The sequence below is a fragment of the Homo sapiens genome, chromosome 2 (assembly GCF_000001405.40).
Source record: "Homo sapiens chromosome 2, GRCh38.p14 Primary Assembly".
In the NCBI taxonomy this organism is placed as follows: domain Eukaryota; kingdom Metazoa; phylum Chordata; class Mammalia; order Primates; family Hominidae; genus Homo; species Homo sapiens.
In genome coordinates, this window is record NC_000002.12 from 27833263 (window position 1) to 27847633 (window position 14371).

Genomic DNA, 14371 nt, shown 5'->3' on the forward strand with positions numbered 1-14371 from the left:
CGGGAAGCTCATGTGCGTATGCATATTTTGTACACCTATGTATGCCTCCCAAATATATCACAATTACTCCTGCAAACATATGCACTTACACAAAAGCTTACATTCTTGGCTTCTGTGAGCAATCTGGGAATATTAAAAAAAAGATTGAGAAAGGAGGAGGAATTCAGTCAGAGGCTGGTGCTAGCTCAGACGGAGAGGCTACAAGAGAAGGATAGATGGGAATAGCAGACACAGGGAAATGAGAATATCATGGCCATTTTTCAGAGGGAGGAAAGTGAAGCTCAGAAAGATGAGGTCCTATGTCTCAGTTCATACATTGGGACACAATTAAGATGGACCCCTACTCAGGGTCCTCTGGCTTTAAGTTCACGGTTTGGTCCACTCTAGAAAAAGGGGCCTCTCTAGGCCAGGACTCTGTCCACACCAACACATACCTCAATGCCAATTCACAATATTTTAAAACACCCTTTGGTTTGGGACTTCGTAAATGTAGATATATATATATTTCAAGTCTTTAGAAATTACATTCATAGGAAGCTCCTTCTTTGTCAAAGCACTAATTCACTTGAGTACTAGATTGGTTAGTCTTCTTTTTCTCAACCCAGGTCCACTGACTTGCGTGTTAAGTAGTCTCATTTGACTATAGACCCATAGTGTAAAAATCTCTAGCTGCAGTTCTCAGAGACTTCAATAACAGTGCTTTGCAAACTTGGTTGCCTATCAGCATCACTAGGAAAGCTTGTTAAAATGCATAATTTCTAGGACTGACCTCAAACCCACTGAATCAGAATCTCTGGGGGTAAGATCAGGGAATCTGCATATTCACAAGTTCTCCATGAGGCTCTCACATAGCCAGCTTGGCACTAATGCATTCCACATTCTTGGGGAGATGCTAATCAGCACGTGGCTAATGGAAACTGTCTACTGCTTCAGCCTGGTGAGGACATCTAGTCTACTTCTGCACCTTCCTTGGTCTTACCTAGCATTTTGATTCAGTCAGTGGGTCTTGTCCAGTATAGGCTAACACTATTCCCACATTTTTGTTATTTCAGAATCCAGAATGTCCACCCACAGAAATTCTATGGTATATTTTTGGCTGCTCAGATTTTTGTATAGAGTTATTGTGCAGCTTAAATTAGAAAATGGATGTAAAAGCCCAGTGTAAAATCTAACCTGCTGTACAAATGTAAAGGATTATTACTGTTATTATATTGTCCTTTACAGATAGCCCAACACCCCCGCCTGTCTACCCATCTCTTCTGCCTTCTGCTGGAGTTTGTAGCCTGGCAACAGTCTCTCTCATTGGTTCTCTCACTTCTGAGAGGTCTTAGAGATGTCAATTACACATAAAGGCTCTCATTGTCCAGTATTCTAACACACTCACTTAAACTTTTTAGGTTTTCAGAACAATATACTGTTCCCAGTTTTCCTCAAGCATTAAATGGAAACAACTGCTCACCTAGTGTAATCCACAAATCTACATTCATCAGCATTTGAGCACAGATTAGAGCAAAGCTACAAGTGTGGAACAACATGGTAGAGCCATTCTTAAAAGATCAATTTTTTCCCTCAAAGATGCATGATCCTGTAATTCCTTTTCTAAACCCATCCTACAGAAATCCATAAGCATGCAAAGATGATATACAATGTTGTTTGTACAGCTCTGTTTGCAATAGAAAACACAAAAAGAAACTTTTACTAAAGGGGATTGGTTTAAAAAATTATGACATAGGCTGGGCGTGGTGGCTCATGCCTGTAATCCCAGCAATTTGGGAAGCTGAGGCGGGTGGATCAACTGAGGTCAGGAGTTTGAGACCAGCCTGACCAACATGGTGAAACTCTGTCTTCACTAAAAGTATAAAAATTAGCCAGGCATGGTGGTGCGTGCCTGTAATCCCAGCTACTCCAGAGGCTGGGGCAGGAGAATCGCTTGAACCCGGGAGGTGGAGGCTACAGTGAGCTGAGATCGCGTCATTGCACTCCAGCCTGGGCAACAAGAGCGAAACTCTGTCTCAAAAAAAAAAAAAAGAAAAAAAAGAATTATGACACGTCTGATGTAGATCACTACAGCTGTTAAAAAGAGTAAAGTAGATCTCCGTTTATCAAGAAAGATTTCTATAATTTATTTATAAGTGAACAAGGAAGTTTTGTACTACCCACCCACCCCACCCCCCCTTTTCTGAGATGGCTCTGTCACCCAGGCTGGAGTATAGTGGCGCAATCTTGGCTCACTGCAACCTCCACCTCCCAGACTCAAGTGATCCTCCCACCTCAGCCTCCCAAGTAGCTGGGACTAATGGGCCTATCACCATGCTTGGGCAATTTTTTTTTTTTTTTTTTTTGGTAGAGATGAGGTTTTGCCATGTTGCCTAGGCTGTTCTTGAATTCCTGGGCTCAAGCGATCCTCACACCTTGGCCTCCCAAAATGCTAAGATTACAGGTGTGAGCCACCGTGCCCGGCCTACCTCCCCTTTTTAATAAGAACAAATAACAAGCACACATAACTATATGTGTATTTACATTTATACACTTACATAGAAGGAAAAAATGTCGGAGAGGTTTCTCACCAAACTAATGAGCCATTAGTTATAAAAAGCTGATAGGACTAAATTTGACTACAGGTTAAGTGCTGTATGAGGTAAAGACATTACTCTTAAAACACATAGTATCTGGCCGGGCACAGTGGCTCATGCCTGTAATCCTAGCACTTTGGGAGGCTGAGGGGGGTAGATCAAAAAGTCAAGAGATCGAGGCCATCCTGGCCAACATGCTGAAACCCCGTCTCTACTAAAAATACAAAAATTTGCCAGGCGTGGTGGCATGCGCTTGTTAGTCCCAGCTACTTGGGAGGCTGAGGCAGGACAATCGCTTGAACCTGGGAGGCGGAGGGTGTGGTGAGCCGAGATCATGCCACTGCACTCCAGCCTGGTGACAGAGTGAGATTCTGTCTCAAAAAATACTACTACTAATAATAGTATCTTACATCAAAAAACAGGTATACTATAAACGAAATGATATAACATCTGGGTTTTGCTTCAACATAATTCAAGGTGGCAGTGCGGGGTAGGGAGCCATGAGGCAGGATACAGATAAAACAAGATTGGCCATGTGCGACAAAAACAAGCAATGGGGAAAAGACTCCCTATTCAATAAATGATGCTGGAATACCTGGCTAGCCATATGCAGAAGAATGAAACTAGACCCTTATCTTTCACCATATACAAAAATTAACTCAAGATGGATTAAATATTTTAAATGTAAGACCTCAAACTATAAAAATCCTAGAAGAAAGCTTAGAAAATACCCTTTTTGACACTGGCATTGGCAAAGAATTTTTGGCTAAGTCCCCCAAAGCAACTGTAACAAAAACAAAAATTGACAAGTGGGACTTAATTAAACTAAATAGCTTCTGCATAGCAAAAGAAATGGTCAATAGAGTAAACAGAAAACCTATAGAATGGGAGAAAATATTTGCAAACTATGCATCTGACAAAGGTCTAATATGCAGAATCTATAAGGAACTTACATAAATCGACAAGCAAAAAACAACTCTGTTAAAAAATGGGCAAAGGACATGAACAGACATTTCTCAAAAGAAGATACACGAGTGGGCCAAAAAACATATGAAAAACTACTCATCGTTTCACTCATCATCAGAGAAATGCAAATCAAACTATAATGAGATACCATCTCACACCAGTCAAAACAGCTATTATTAAAAAGTCAAGGGCCAGCCGAGGTGGCTCACACCTGTAATCCCAGCACTTTGGGCGGCCGAGGCAGGCAGATCACGAGGATCGGGAGATTAAGATCATCCTGGCTAACACGGTGAAACCCTGTCTCTACTAAAAATACAAAAATATTAGCCGGGCATGGTGGCAGGTGCCTGTAGTCCCAGCTACTCGGGAGGCTGAGGCAGGAGAATGGCGTGAATCTGGGAGGTGGAGCTTGCAGTGAGCCGAGATCGTGCCACTGCACTCCAGCCTGGGCGATAGAGCGAGACTCCATCTCAAAAAACAAAACAAAACAAAACGAAACAAAAAACAAAAAGTCAAAACACAACAGATGCTGGTGAGGCTGCAGAGAGAAGGAAACACTTATACACTGTTGGCAGGAATGTAACTTAGTTCAGTCATGTAGAAAGCAGTTTGGAGATTGATTCTCAAAGAACTTAAAATAGACCTACCATTTGACCCAGCAATCCTATGCCTGGTACACACCCAAAGGAAAACAGATCATTATACCTAAAGGAAACATGTACTTGTATGTTCATCACCATGCTAGTCACAATAGCAAAGACATGGAATCAACCTAGGTGCCCATCAATGGTGGACTGGATAAAGAAAATGTGGTACATATATACCATGGAATACTATGTAGCCGTAAAAAGGAATGAAATCATGTCCTTGGCAGCAACATAGATGGAGCTGGAGGCCATAATCCTAATCAAATTAAAATAAGAACAGAAAACCAAATACCACATGTATTCACTTATAAGTGGGGGCTAAATATTGAGTACGCATGGACAGAAAGATGGGAACAACAGACACTACAGAGTACTGGAGCAGGGAGGGGCACAGGTTGAAAAGCTACCTATTGAGTACCGTGCTCCCTACCTGGGCGCAATACTCCCATGTAACAAATCTGCATATGAAGGCCTGGTGCGGTGGTTCATGCCTGTAATCCCAGTACTTTGGGAGGTTGAGGCAGGTGGATCACCTGAGGTAAGAAGTTCAAGACAAGCCTGGCCAACATGGTGAAGCCCCATCTCTATTAAAAATACAAAAATTAGCTGGGTGTGGTGGTGCCTGCCTGTAATCCCAGCTACTTGGGAGGCTGAGGCATAAGAATCACTTGAATATGGGAGGTGGAGGCTGCAGTGAGCTGAGATCATGCCACTGCACTCCAGCCTGGGCGGGCAGAATGAGACTCTATCTCAAACAAACAAAAACAAAACAAAAACAAGTCTGCACATGTACCCCCGTGTCTAAAATAAAAGATGGAATTTAAAAGTAGAAAAAAAGACTGGCCACATGTTGGTAACTGTTGAAGCTAAATGATAGTATATATAGGTTTACCATACTATTCTCTGTATGTCTATATATATTTGAAATTTTCCACAATAAAAGCAAATTTTAAGGAAAAAATTACATTAAAATTTAGGTACCAATTGCTAGAATAAGGAATTCCATAATTTTACTGTAAATACTGTATAAAAATCAACCTTATTTGCCTGTACTTTACTGAGGGACAGCATTCTTCAATAGTAACTGGATACATAGGCTTAGAGTCTGACTGGTAACTAAATTTAGGGGAAAAGTGTAAATGCCATAAAGAAAGCATTCTTCTCAGCTTGTGCTACCACAAATGAGCATACTCCACCATGATGAAAGAAACATAAATTAGTAGATGCAGTTAATCAAAGAAGAATGCAAATCTGTAATAGACAAGGTGGAAGCCATGATGTCATCCTGGGACCAGGCAGAGCTAGAGAACACAGACTGTACCATGGAGTAACTTGGAGTTGCAGAGGTGACTGGTAGCACCCAACAGTAATTATTATTAATTACAGTGTCAGATGAACTAAACTCCTAGTTATCTTAACTGCATGTTAATGGATAGCACAATAATGTCAATAAGGAACTGGTGAGGCCTGGAGGAGCAGTTGTATAGGCTAAAAGGCAGGAAAATGAGGCAGAAACTCTTTATGGTGTTGTCACGGAGGGCAGGGGCTGGACAGTTAGGAAGGCCCTAATTATTAGCTCAGAGAAACCGGGGAAGAAAATCACCCTGAGTGAAGACACTGTGAGCATGTTGGGACACTCAAAATACTGGCTTTGCTGTCCATTACTCTAGAGGCTCTTTTCTGTGACTTGAGCAGCAAAAACACTCAAAGCTTGGGCTATGTGCTGGACAATGTCATTGTGAAAGTCTGGATGGCCAGATAAGAAGTTTTGTTTGCCAAAGGCAAAAGGACTGAAGTGGCATTAAAAGATACTTTGTATCATACTGATAATTTAACTTTGGCAATTTTACAATCTCAATTATTTATAATTGTTTATGTACTGTTCCATTTGCTTGGAAATGGATATAAAGACCAGAACCAACATGCATAATTTCATCACAAGCAGCTGCAGCACTGGCTCTTCAGTGGGCCTACCTCATAGCTTCATGGCCTGGTGGGGATGGGGGTGGCTATACAGGGCTACCGATTTTTGGTGTTGTAGCTACTATGTCTTTAAAAATCAATGCTTTCATTTTGATAGCGACAGAGAGTTTTGAGACAGTATATTCAAAGATGTAGGGATCTTTTCCTCTGGATTTTCATAACTGATATATTAGCATAATCTAGTTATGCAATGTGCTTAATTCAAAATTCACTACCTGTAAGCAGTAAAGATAATGGAACTGTGATAAGAAAACCCATAGATGATGATGACGATGAAGACTTTATCATCGTTCTTGAAGACGGAATAATGCTGTTCAGCACATAGGCAGCTTCCTGGGGCAGTGGGTAGGGTGCTCAGTGCTCAAGAGATCATTAAGCCCACTCTGCTCTGGGATCAGTCCAAAGTGACATGAAAGAACTGTGAGAGCTGTCAGCCCAATTCTGGTTTCACAGAAGAAGAAAATGACGTCCAGAGTGAGGAACTGACTTACTTGACTGAGATCCCCCATTTGCTGATTGATTATGAATTTAAAGCCATATTTCACAATTCCCAAACCAATGGTCTCCTTTCATTATACCACTCTTCTTCTTTTTTTTTTTTTTTTTGAGATGGAGTCTCGCTCTGTCACCCAGGCTGGAGTGGAGTGGCGCGATCTCAGCTCACTGCAAGTTCCGCCTCCTGGGTTCACACCATTCTCCTGCCTCAGCCTCCCGAGTAGCTGGGACTACAGGCACCCACCACCATGCCCGGCTAATTTTTTTGTATTTTGAGTAGAGATGGGGTTTCACCGTGTTAGCCAGGATGGTCTCGATCTCTTGACCTCATGATCCACCCACCTCGGCCTCCCAAAGTGCTGGGATACCACTCTTCTTGCATATGAGAATGATGATGCATTACACACACACACACACACACACACACACGCGCGCGCGCACACACACACACACACACACACACACACACCCTCCTCATGGAATAGAATCTAAGCTGCATCTGGCCGGTATCTACCAAATAGGGACCAGCTGACTTGGCCAGAGAAAGCCACCGGACTGGAGGAGTAATGGACACATGAGTGTGTGTGCTTGTGTGCATGTGTGTTCGTGTGTGTGTGTGTAAGTTCTATTGGGGTTACAGTGCTGAAAACACTGTAGAGCCTCTTCTCTGTTTCTTGAGCAGCAAAAACACATAAAGCTTAGGCCACGTGCTGGACAGTGTTAAAATTTATGGACTTGACTTTTCTAGAGATACTCTTCATAAAGGCTCAGTTTGTTGGAATCAATGGGTTGTGGCACTTTAAAGTGTGGTTTAAACTAGGAGACAGAACTTGGGTCTTAGAGTCTGAAATCATGGTTTCTTCAACTTAAAGTGCGACACTGTTTGAACAAATGACTTAACCTCTCAGTCTCAGTCTTCTCACCTTTAATCTGAGAGAACAATGCCTGCCATATCTTTGTCATAAGGTTTTTCTGAGGGTAAAATGTGTACGAAAGTACTTTATAAGATGTAAAGTACATATAAATGCATGGTATTACTATTTCTGCTATTATTATATAAGGAAGTTCATGCAGAATTAATACCAAGGCATGCTGGCTCTTAATAAAAGTGTGAAGTAGGCCAAGTGGTCTGTGGCCCACTGTCACCTACCCCGCTTCCTGCTGTCCTGGGTCCTCCAGCTCCCAACTGGAAGAGCTACACGGAAGGTGATGGAGGAAGCCTTTCTGGACCCCACCCAATGACAGCCCCAGGGTAGGCTGCCTGCCCATCCGGATTACTCTATTCTCACCTGTGAAAGGTTAGCTCCTCAACTGTGGCTGCTGTATCTTTCTCTCCTTCACAAGCAGGGTAGGTAACAGGCAACTAGACTAGGACAGAGGGAACAGTGATCTCTGAGCAGTAAGGGATAGTAGGAAAAAAAGAGAAGTTACACGAGAATGTGCTTTGATCTATACAAAGAAAGACAAGAGCAGGAGCAGGGTGGCACCCTGTATTCACATCACTCTGCTGAGATGGGCACGGTGCAGAGAATGCGTAACCATAAGCATTAGACTTTACTGTGACACTCCAAGAAAATGGAACCAAATGGGTTTTGGCTTAGAATTCTTTCTGACAGCTTCATGTCCATTAAAAATACACTAAATGTCAGGGAAAATTTACCACAGCATGTTGTTTTGCCAAGAGGAAAATTTGTTAAATCAGGACGAACATTTTAAAATTCTCCACAAAATCATTTCAGTGACTTATTTTCCATTTATTTCTATGTAGAACACTACACACTTTGGGAGAAATCACTTATATAAACACACACACACACACACACACACACACACACTGTTCTTTTTCTTTTTTCTTTTTAGTTTTGTATCTTGAGAAATAGTCAGTGTGGTTCTCTATTTTATTCTTTAAAAAAATCACAGAACTATTGCCACAATATCAAGAAGTCATCATGTTAGAGTGGCTACTATTTATTTTGATTTTTTTCACCAAATGATGCTTGATCAGGATATTATCCTAACTTTAAAGAGAGAAGTGGATTGAAGAGGAAAAAATTGGGATTTACCACCATGTACTACACCATGCTTGGCATCCTATTTTATTTTATTCCATCCTGAGAACAATTCTGCAGATGGAGTATTTCTATATGCATTTTACTGAAAAGGCTCAGACAAATCAGGTAATTCTGCTAGGACCACGAAGCTGACAAGGGACAGAAATGGGATTCTAATTCAGAAGATGCTTTCCCCACTAGTCAGTGGTGAAAAGGAAGCAAACAAATAAATCATCTGGATTTTTAAAAAGTTTGTTATTTGCTGGAGGTGAGAAAAGAGGAGTGAGTGGGAGAAAAGATGAATCAAGATTAGCTACAGGTTGATAACTGGAAGCTGGGTGATGGATTTCACTGTACAATTCTGCTGCTTTTGTAGGTTTGAAAATTTCCAAAATCAAAAACAAAAGAGGCAATGTCAATGGACATTGATAACATAGAAAATATTACATATAAATAATCTTTTGTTGTTTATTGAAAGATGATAAAGTTTTACAAAAAGGAGAAAAAACCTAATCTTCAATTCCTAGAGATGTTTGTCAAAAAGTAACTGGGCTGCCCCAGTTACTTTTGTATGTATGCATGTATTTGTATGTATGACATGCAGCTTAACCTCTGCTTCTCAGAGTAGAAAACATTTCACCACCTAGAGTGTACCTTGGACAAGGGGCTGATTCAGGAATTCTTTTTTTTTTTTTTGAGACGGAGTCTCACTCTTGTCACCCAGGCTAGAGTGCAGCAGAGCGATCTCGGCTCACTGCAACCTCCACCTCTAGGGTTCAAGCGATTCTCCTGCCTCAGCCTCCTGAGTAGCTGGAATTACAGGAATTCTAATTCTACTTGTACCATTTCTGCCAGCTACATTGAAGATTTATATTGCGGGATATCGGAAATGCTACTCATGTTTTTTTTTTTACCCTGTTTGCAAGGTTTTCTAACATTATCAAGAACCACAAGACTGTGAATCTCACAGATGGAAGAAAGAATATTTTACGACAGAAAGAGTATTGCTTTGCTTAACTTAAAAGGTTAACTTTAATTAAGACAGCGATAAAAGCTTTTATAGAAAGAATGACAAATATGTATAATTACCTCCACTCCTGCGGGCCATTGTTAGGGCTTCCAAAGAAGTTGCTGGAGTTATTTCGAGCTGGCAGACCATGACTTTGGCTCTGCTAATGACATTGGCTGCTGCCCTCAGATCCTCCGTATTCAAAAGTAAATTTGCTCCAGCCACTATGACAATGATATTCTGGCCTATAAAGAAATTCCACCTATTATATTAAAACTAAACAAAGCCAAGCAAATGATATTCTGCAGTGTTATGAATACAATCGCCCTTGTAAAGTCATTATACAAAATGTGTTATTAAGTATTAATTTTAGCATTTCTAGGTTATTCAGCTTGAACTTTGAGTTCCAAATGTATCTTTTATAATATCTCTGTAAGATGCACATTATTCTGATCACCTTAAGCAAAATCTTAAAAAGATTTTCCCAATATTCTTATATATAAAGAATATTAGTTGAGAAATGACATATAACATACTTTAAACATTTCTTTTATAGAAAATAGCTAGTATATGTATGCGGTAAAGGTTCTGAATCCTAAATGACAGATGCCATAGAGATGAATATAAATAGGAATAAACTTGTATGACACTGTAGTATGCAAGCAGTTCATGTGTGTACCCTATGGTATTCTAAAAAGTGATTCTGTCAATCAAAACACATTTTAAATATCTAACAGATAGAAAATTGTATCAGATATAGAGGAGAGAGGGATACCTGGCTTATACTATAATGGATCAAACAGAAACAGAACTAAGGAATCTGATATATTCTTATTACTTGGACCTGCTGTCTATAATCCCACCTGAATGAGGCAGGGGTGGTGGTGCATTTCATCTGTAAGGTGAACCCTTAAGAGCTGTGCTGTCCAACATGGTAGTCATGAGCACGAGCCACACATGGCCATTGAACATTTGAAATGTGGCTAGTCCTGGCTGGGCAGAGTGGCTCATACCTATAATTTCTAGCACTTTGGGAGGCCGAGGTGGGCAGATCACTTGAGGTCAGGAGTTGAAGACCAGCCTGGTCAAATGGTGAAAACCCATCTCTACTAAAATTACAAAAATTAGCTGGGCGTGGTGGTATGTGCCTGCAGTCGCAGCTACTTAGGAGCCTGAGGCGTGAGAGTCGCTTAAACCTGGGAGGCGGAGGTAGCAGTGACCTGAGATTGTGTCATTGCATTCCAGCCTGGGCAAGAGTGAGTGAGACTCTGTCTCAGAAAAAAAAAAAAAAAAAGAAATGTGGCTAGTCCACTGAGGTGTGCTTCAAGTAAAATACAAGCGGATTTCAAAGATAGTACAAAGGAAATAAGGTAAAATATCCATTTATTCTTACCATTTTAAAAATTAAAAAAAAATTAAGATAAATTTTGGGGTCTCACTCTGTTGCCCAGGCTGGAGTGCAGTCGTGCGATCTTGGCTCACTGCAGCCTCCACCTCCTGGGTTCAATCAACTCTCCCACCTAAGCCTCCCAAGTAGCTGGTATTGCAGGGGTGTGCCGCCACGCCTGGCTAATTTTTTTTTGCATTTTTAGTAGAGATGGGGTTTCACTATGTTGGCCAGGCTAGTCTCGAACTCCTGACCTCATGTGATCTACCCGCCTTGGCCTCCCAAAGTGCGGGGATTACAGGTGTGGGCTACCGTACCCAGCCAAGATAAATTTTTGATTACACACTGTAATGATAATATTTTGGACATATTGGGTTAAATATATGGCCTAAGTTAAATTTACCTGTTCCTTTTTACTTTTTAAAATGTGGCTACTAGACAATTTAAAATTCCACACGAGGCTTGCATTTTATTTTTATTGGACAACACTGATCTGGAGGAATGAGTTGTAGCAGGCATTTTCTGTGCTCCGGGCTGCTCGTGCTGATCTTGTACAGACATGACCTAAAATCACCTCTCAACACAGAACAAATTCTATCCTATCATCTTACCACAGATGTGTTTGTTGGCCACGAGGAAGACTTAATAAAGTGGGGATGGTTCAGCATAAACCTAACCTCAGTCCTAGAAAAATTCAAAGTTCCCACTTGCTGAAAGACAGCATCTCTCCTTCCTTTTCTTCAGTGACCTCATTTTCTCTGTTGGAGTCAGCTGCTGCTTCCATGTTGCTGTCTCCCAGATCCAAATTTTTGGCCTGGCCTTAGCTGCTAAGCAGCAAGCCCAAGACTATAGCTGTCTGATGGATAATGCCATATGGCTAGCTTATTCATGCCTCAAATTTAACTAGTCAAAACTAAACTCATTACTTTATCTTGCAAACTCACTCCTTCATTTAAAGGAGCTGATTGTCCCATCTCTGTGTATTTGTCCTAATTCTTCTATTACCACCTATAGTCTTGAGGGCATTACCGTACACTGTAAACCAGGCAAGGTCTACCAAATAGGCACTTGACACACACTATGACATTATATCTTTGCATGGAAAATGCAGATTTTGTTCATAGATAAGAAAGAGAACTTGAGGATAGTCCTAGAACAACAACAACAACAACAACAACAACAAAAGAGGTTTAAGACAAGGAATGAGCTGCTGTTGGCAGGAATAGTTACTTAAAATGTAGCTTAAATGAACACAGGCTTTCTATAGTTAGAATGCAAACTTTTATCTACCACCTTTAGGTGAAATATATCGTTATTATTGCTACTTGGAATCACTAAAGCCGAGTTAAAAATACCATATTTTCTGTGAGAAATGATGCTGCAAAGCTGCATTATAAATAAAAGACACATTGTGACAAATCCTCATTTAACACAAGCACGCTGTCCACAACACATGAGGTTCTGTCCTAGGTGCCCCAGGAAATGCTTGGTCCTTCTGAATATTGATTCTGATTTAAAAAAACTTATGTAGGCGTTTTTATAATTAAAACAGTTGGCAGAAATTATGAAAACTTGACTTGAAGGTTGTTACCATTTTTTTTTTTTTGAGACAGAGTCTTGCTCCGTCGTCGCCCAGGCTGGAGTGTAGTCACCCAATCTTGGCTCACTGCAACCTCCGCCTTGTGAGTTCAAGCGATTCTCCTGCCTCAGCCTCCTGAGTAGCTGAGATTACAGGCATTTGCCACCAGGCCTGGCTAATTGTTTTTGCATTTTCAGTAGAGATGGGGTTTTACTATGTTGGTCAGGCTGGTCTTGAACTCCTGACCTCAAATGATCCACCTGCCTTGGCCTCCCAAAATGCTGAGATTATAGGCATGAGCCACTACGCTCAGCCTCTGTTTTAATTCATTCATTCATTCATTCATTCACTCATGCATTTATTTATTTAGAGTCAGAGTCTCACTCTGTCACGCAGGCTGAAGTGCAGTGGTGGGACTGTGGCTCACTGCAGCCTTGAATTCCTGGCCTCAAGTGATCCTCCCACTTTAGCCTCTGAAAGCATTGGCATTACAGGTGTGAGCCACTGTGCCAGGCCCAATTACTATTTTAAAAGATAAATGTATCAGCTATGGCAAAGCCTTGTGGCAGACTTAGTTGTATATATAGACTTTTGAGATTTGATTGCTGTTGAAAGACAAAATTGAACACTAACGATAAGTTGGATGTAATTAGTTGCTGCCATTTGCTCAGAACATATTCTATAAATATGACTCATCAAACTTTTCTTTGCACCTATTTACATATACTTACCTAGTGTAACTGAAATGACAGATGAATGCTTGACTGCTTTTAGAGACAAATGTCAATTATAAGTTCACATGAAGGGTAATGGGGACATTACAGCATATACATATTATTTTGAGGCAACTTCATATATATTGGATTGACAATTTTGAAAATTGTCCAAAAATTTATCTGAACGATCCATGTGAGAAGTATAAATAAAGGGAAACACATTTATATTTGGATTGGAAAAACTATGTTTTAGGCCTTGGAGTGATGGGTATAGTAAGAGGTCCATAGGATTATGGTAAAAATTGATGCTTCTGATCTAACTCTGGAAATACACTGTCTTATGAAATGACACTCCAATATGCAAAACACTTACCTTCATTATTGACAATTATAGAAGCAGTTCCTGTAGCAGCATCTTTAGTCTGATATGTAAATTCTGAAAGAAAAAAGAAAATTACAATCACATGTATACAGGCTGGCATGGATAATTTATTTTAACAATTTCAATACAACACTAATCCTTGGAAAACCTTTTTAACCTTTAACCATCTGGAATGATAAAAAAAAATAAGTAATTAGTGCTAATTTATACCCATCATCTATACAACAAGAAAAATAGACAGCTTTACATGTAGTTGCACCTTTTCTCTGCATTAGTAACAACCCACCAAACTGCTCCTACTTTCGATTCCCCCCAATTATTCATAATTGTATACATATGCATTTTTCTAGACCAACACACTTATGTTCTTCATTGAAAGGAATGTCAGAGTTGAGATAAAAAGTAAAGGTCAAATCTATAAAATGAACTTGTTTGATTATTTTCATTCTCATAAGCTTGTTATTTCACCAAGAACCAAGGTCTGGCATATAAACAGAAATGTTGACCAGGCAGCCTTTGGTAGCAGCAAAGAGCCCTGAACTGGAATCAGAAGATCTTCATTCTAGTCCTGGCTCTAGCTCCA

General features: G+C 40.4%; 1 protein-coding gene across 2 annotated transcripts in view; it reads right to left on the bottom strand.

The window, feature by feature from the left end:
• Positions 1-14371, bottom strand: part of RBKS (ribokinase) — a 109009-nt gene that overhangs the window by 51884 nt on the left and 42754 nt on the right. For both annotated transcript variants that reach the window (NM_022128.3, NM_001287580.2), the window contains 2 exons: positions 13780-13842; positions 9805-9969 (listed from right to left, as the gene is read on the bottom strand). In NM_022128.3, coding sequence (NP_071411.1) covers positions 9805-9969; positions 13780-13842 — 228 coding nt within the window. The remainder of the gene's footprint in view (positions 1-9804; positions 9970-13779; positions 13843-14371) is intronic.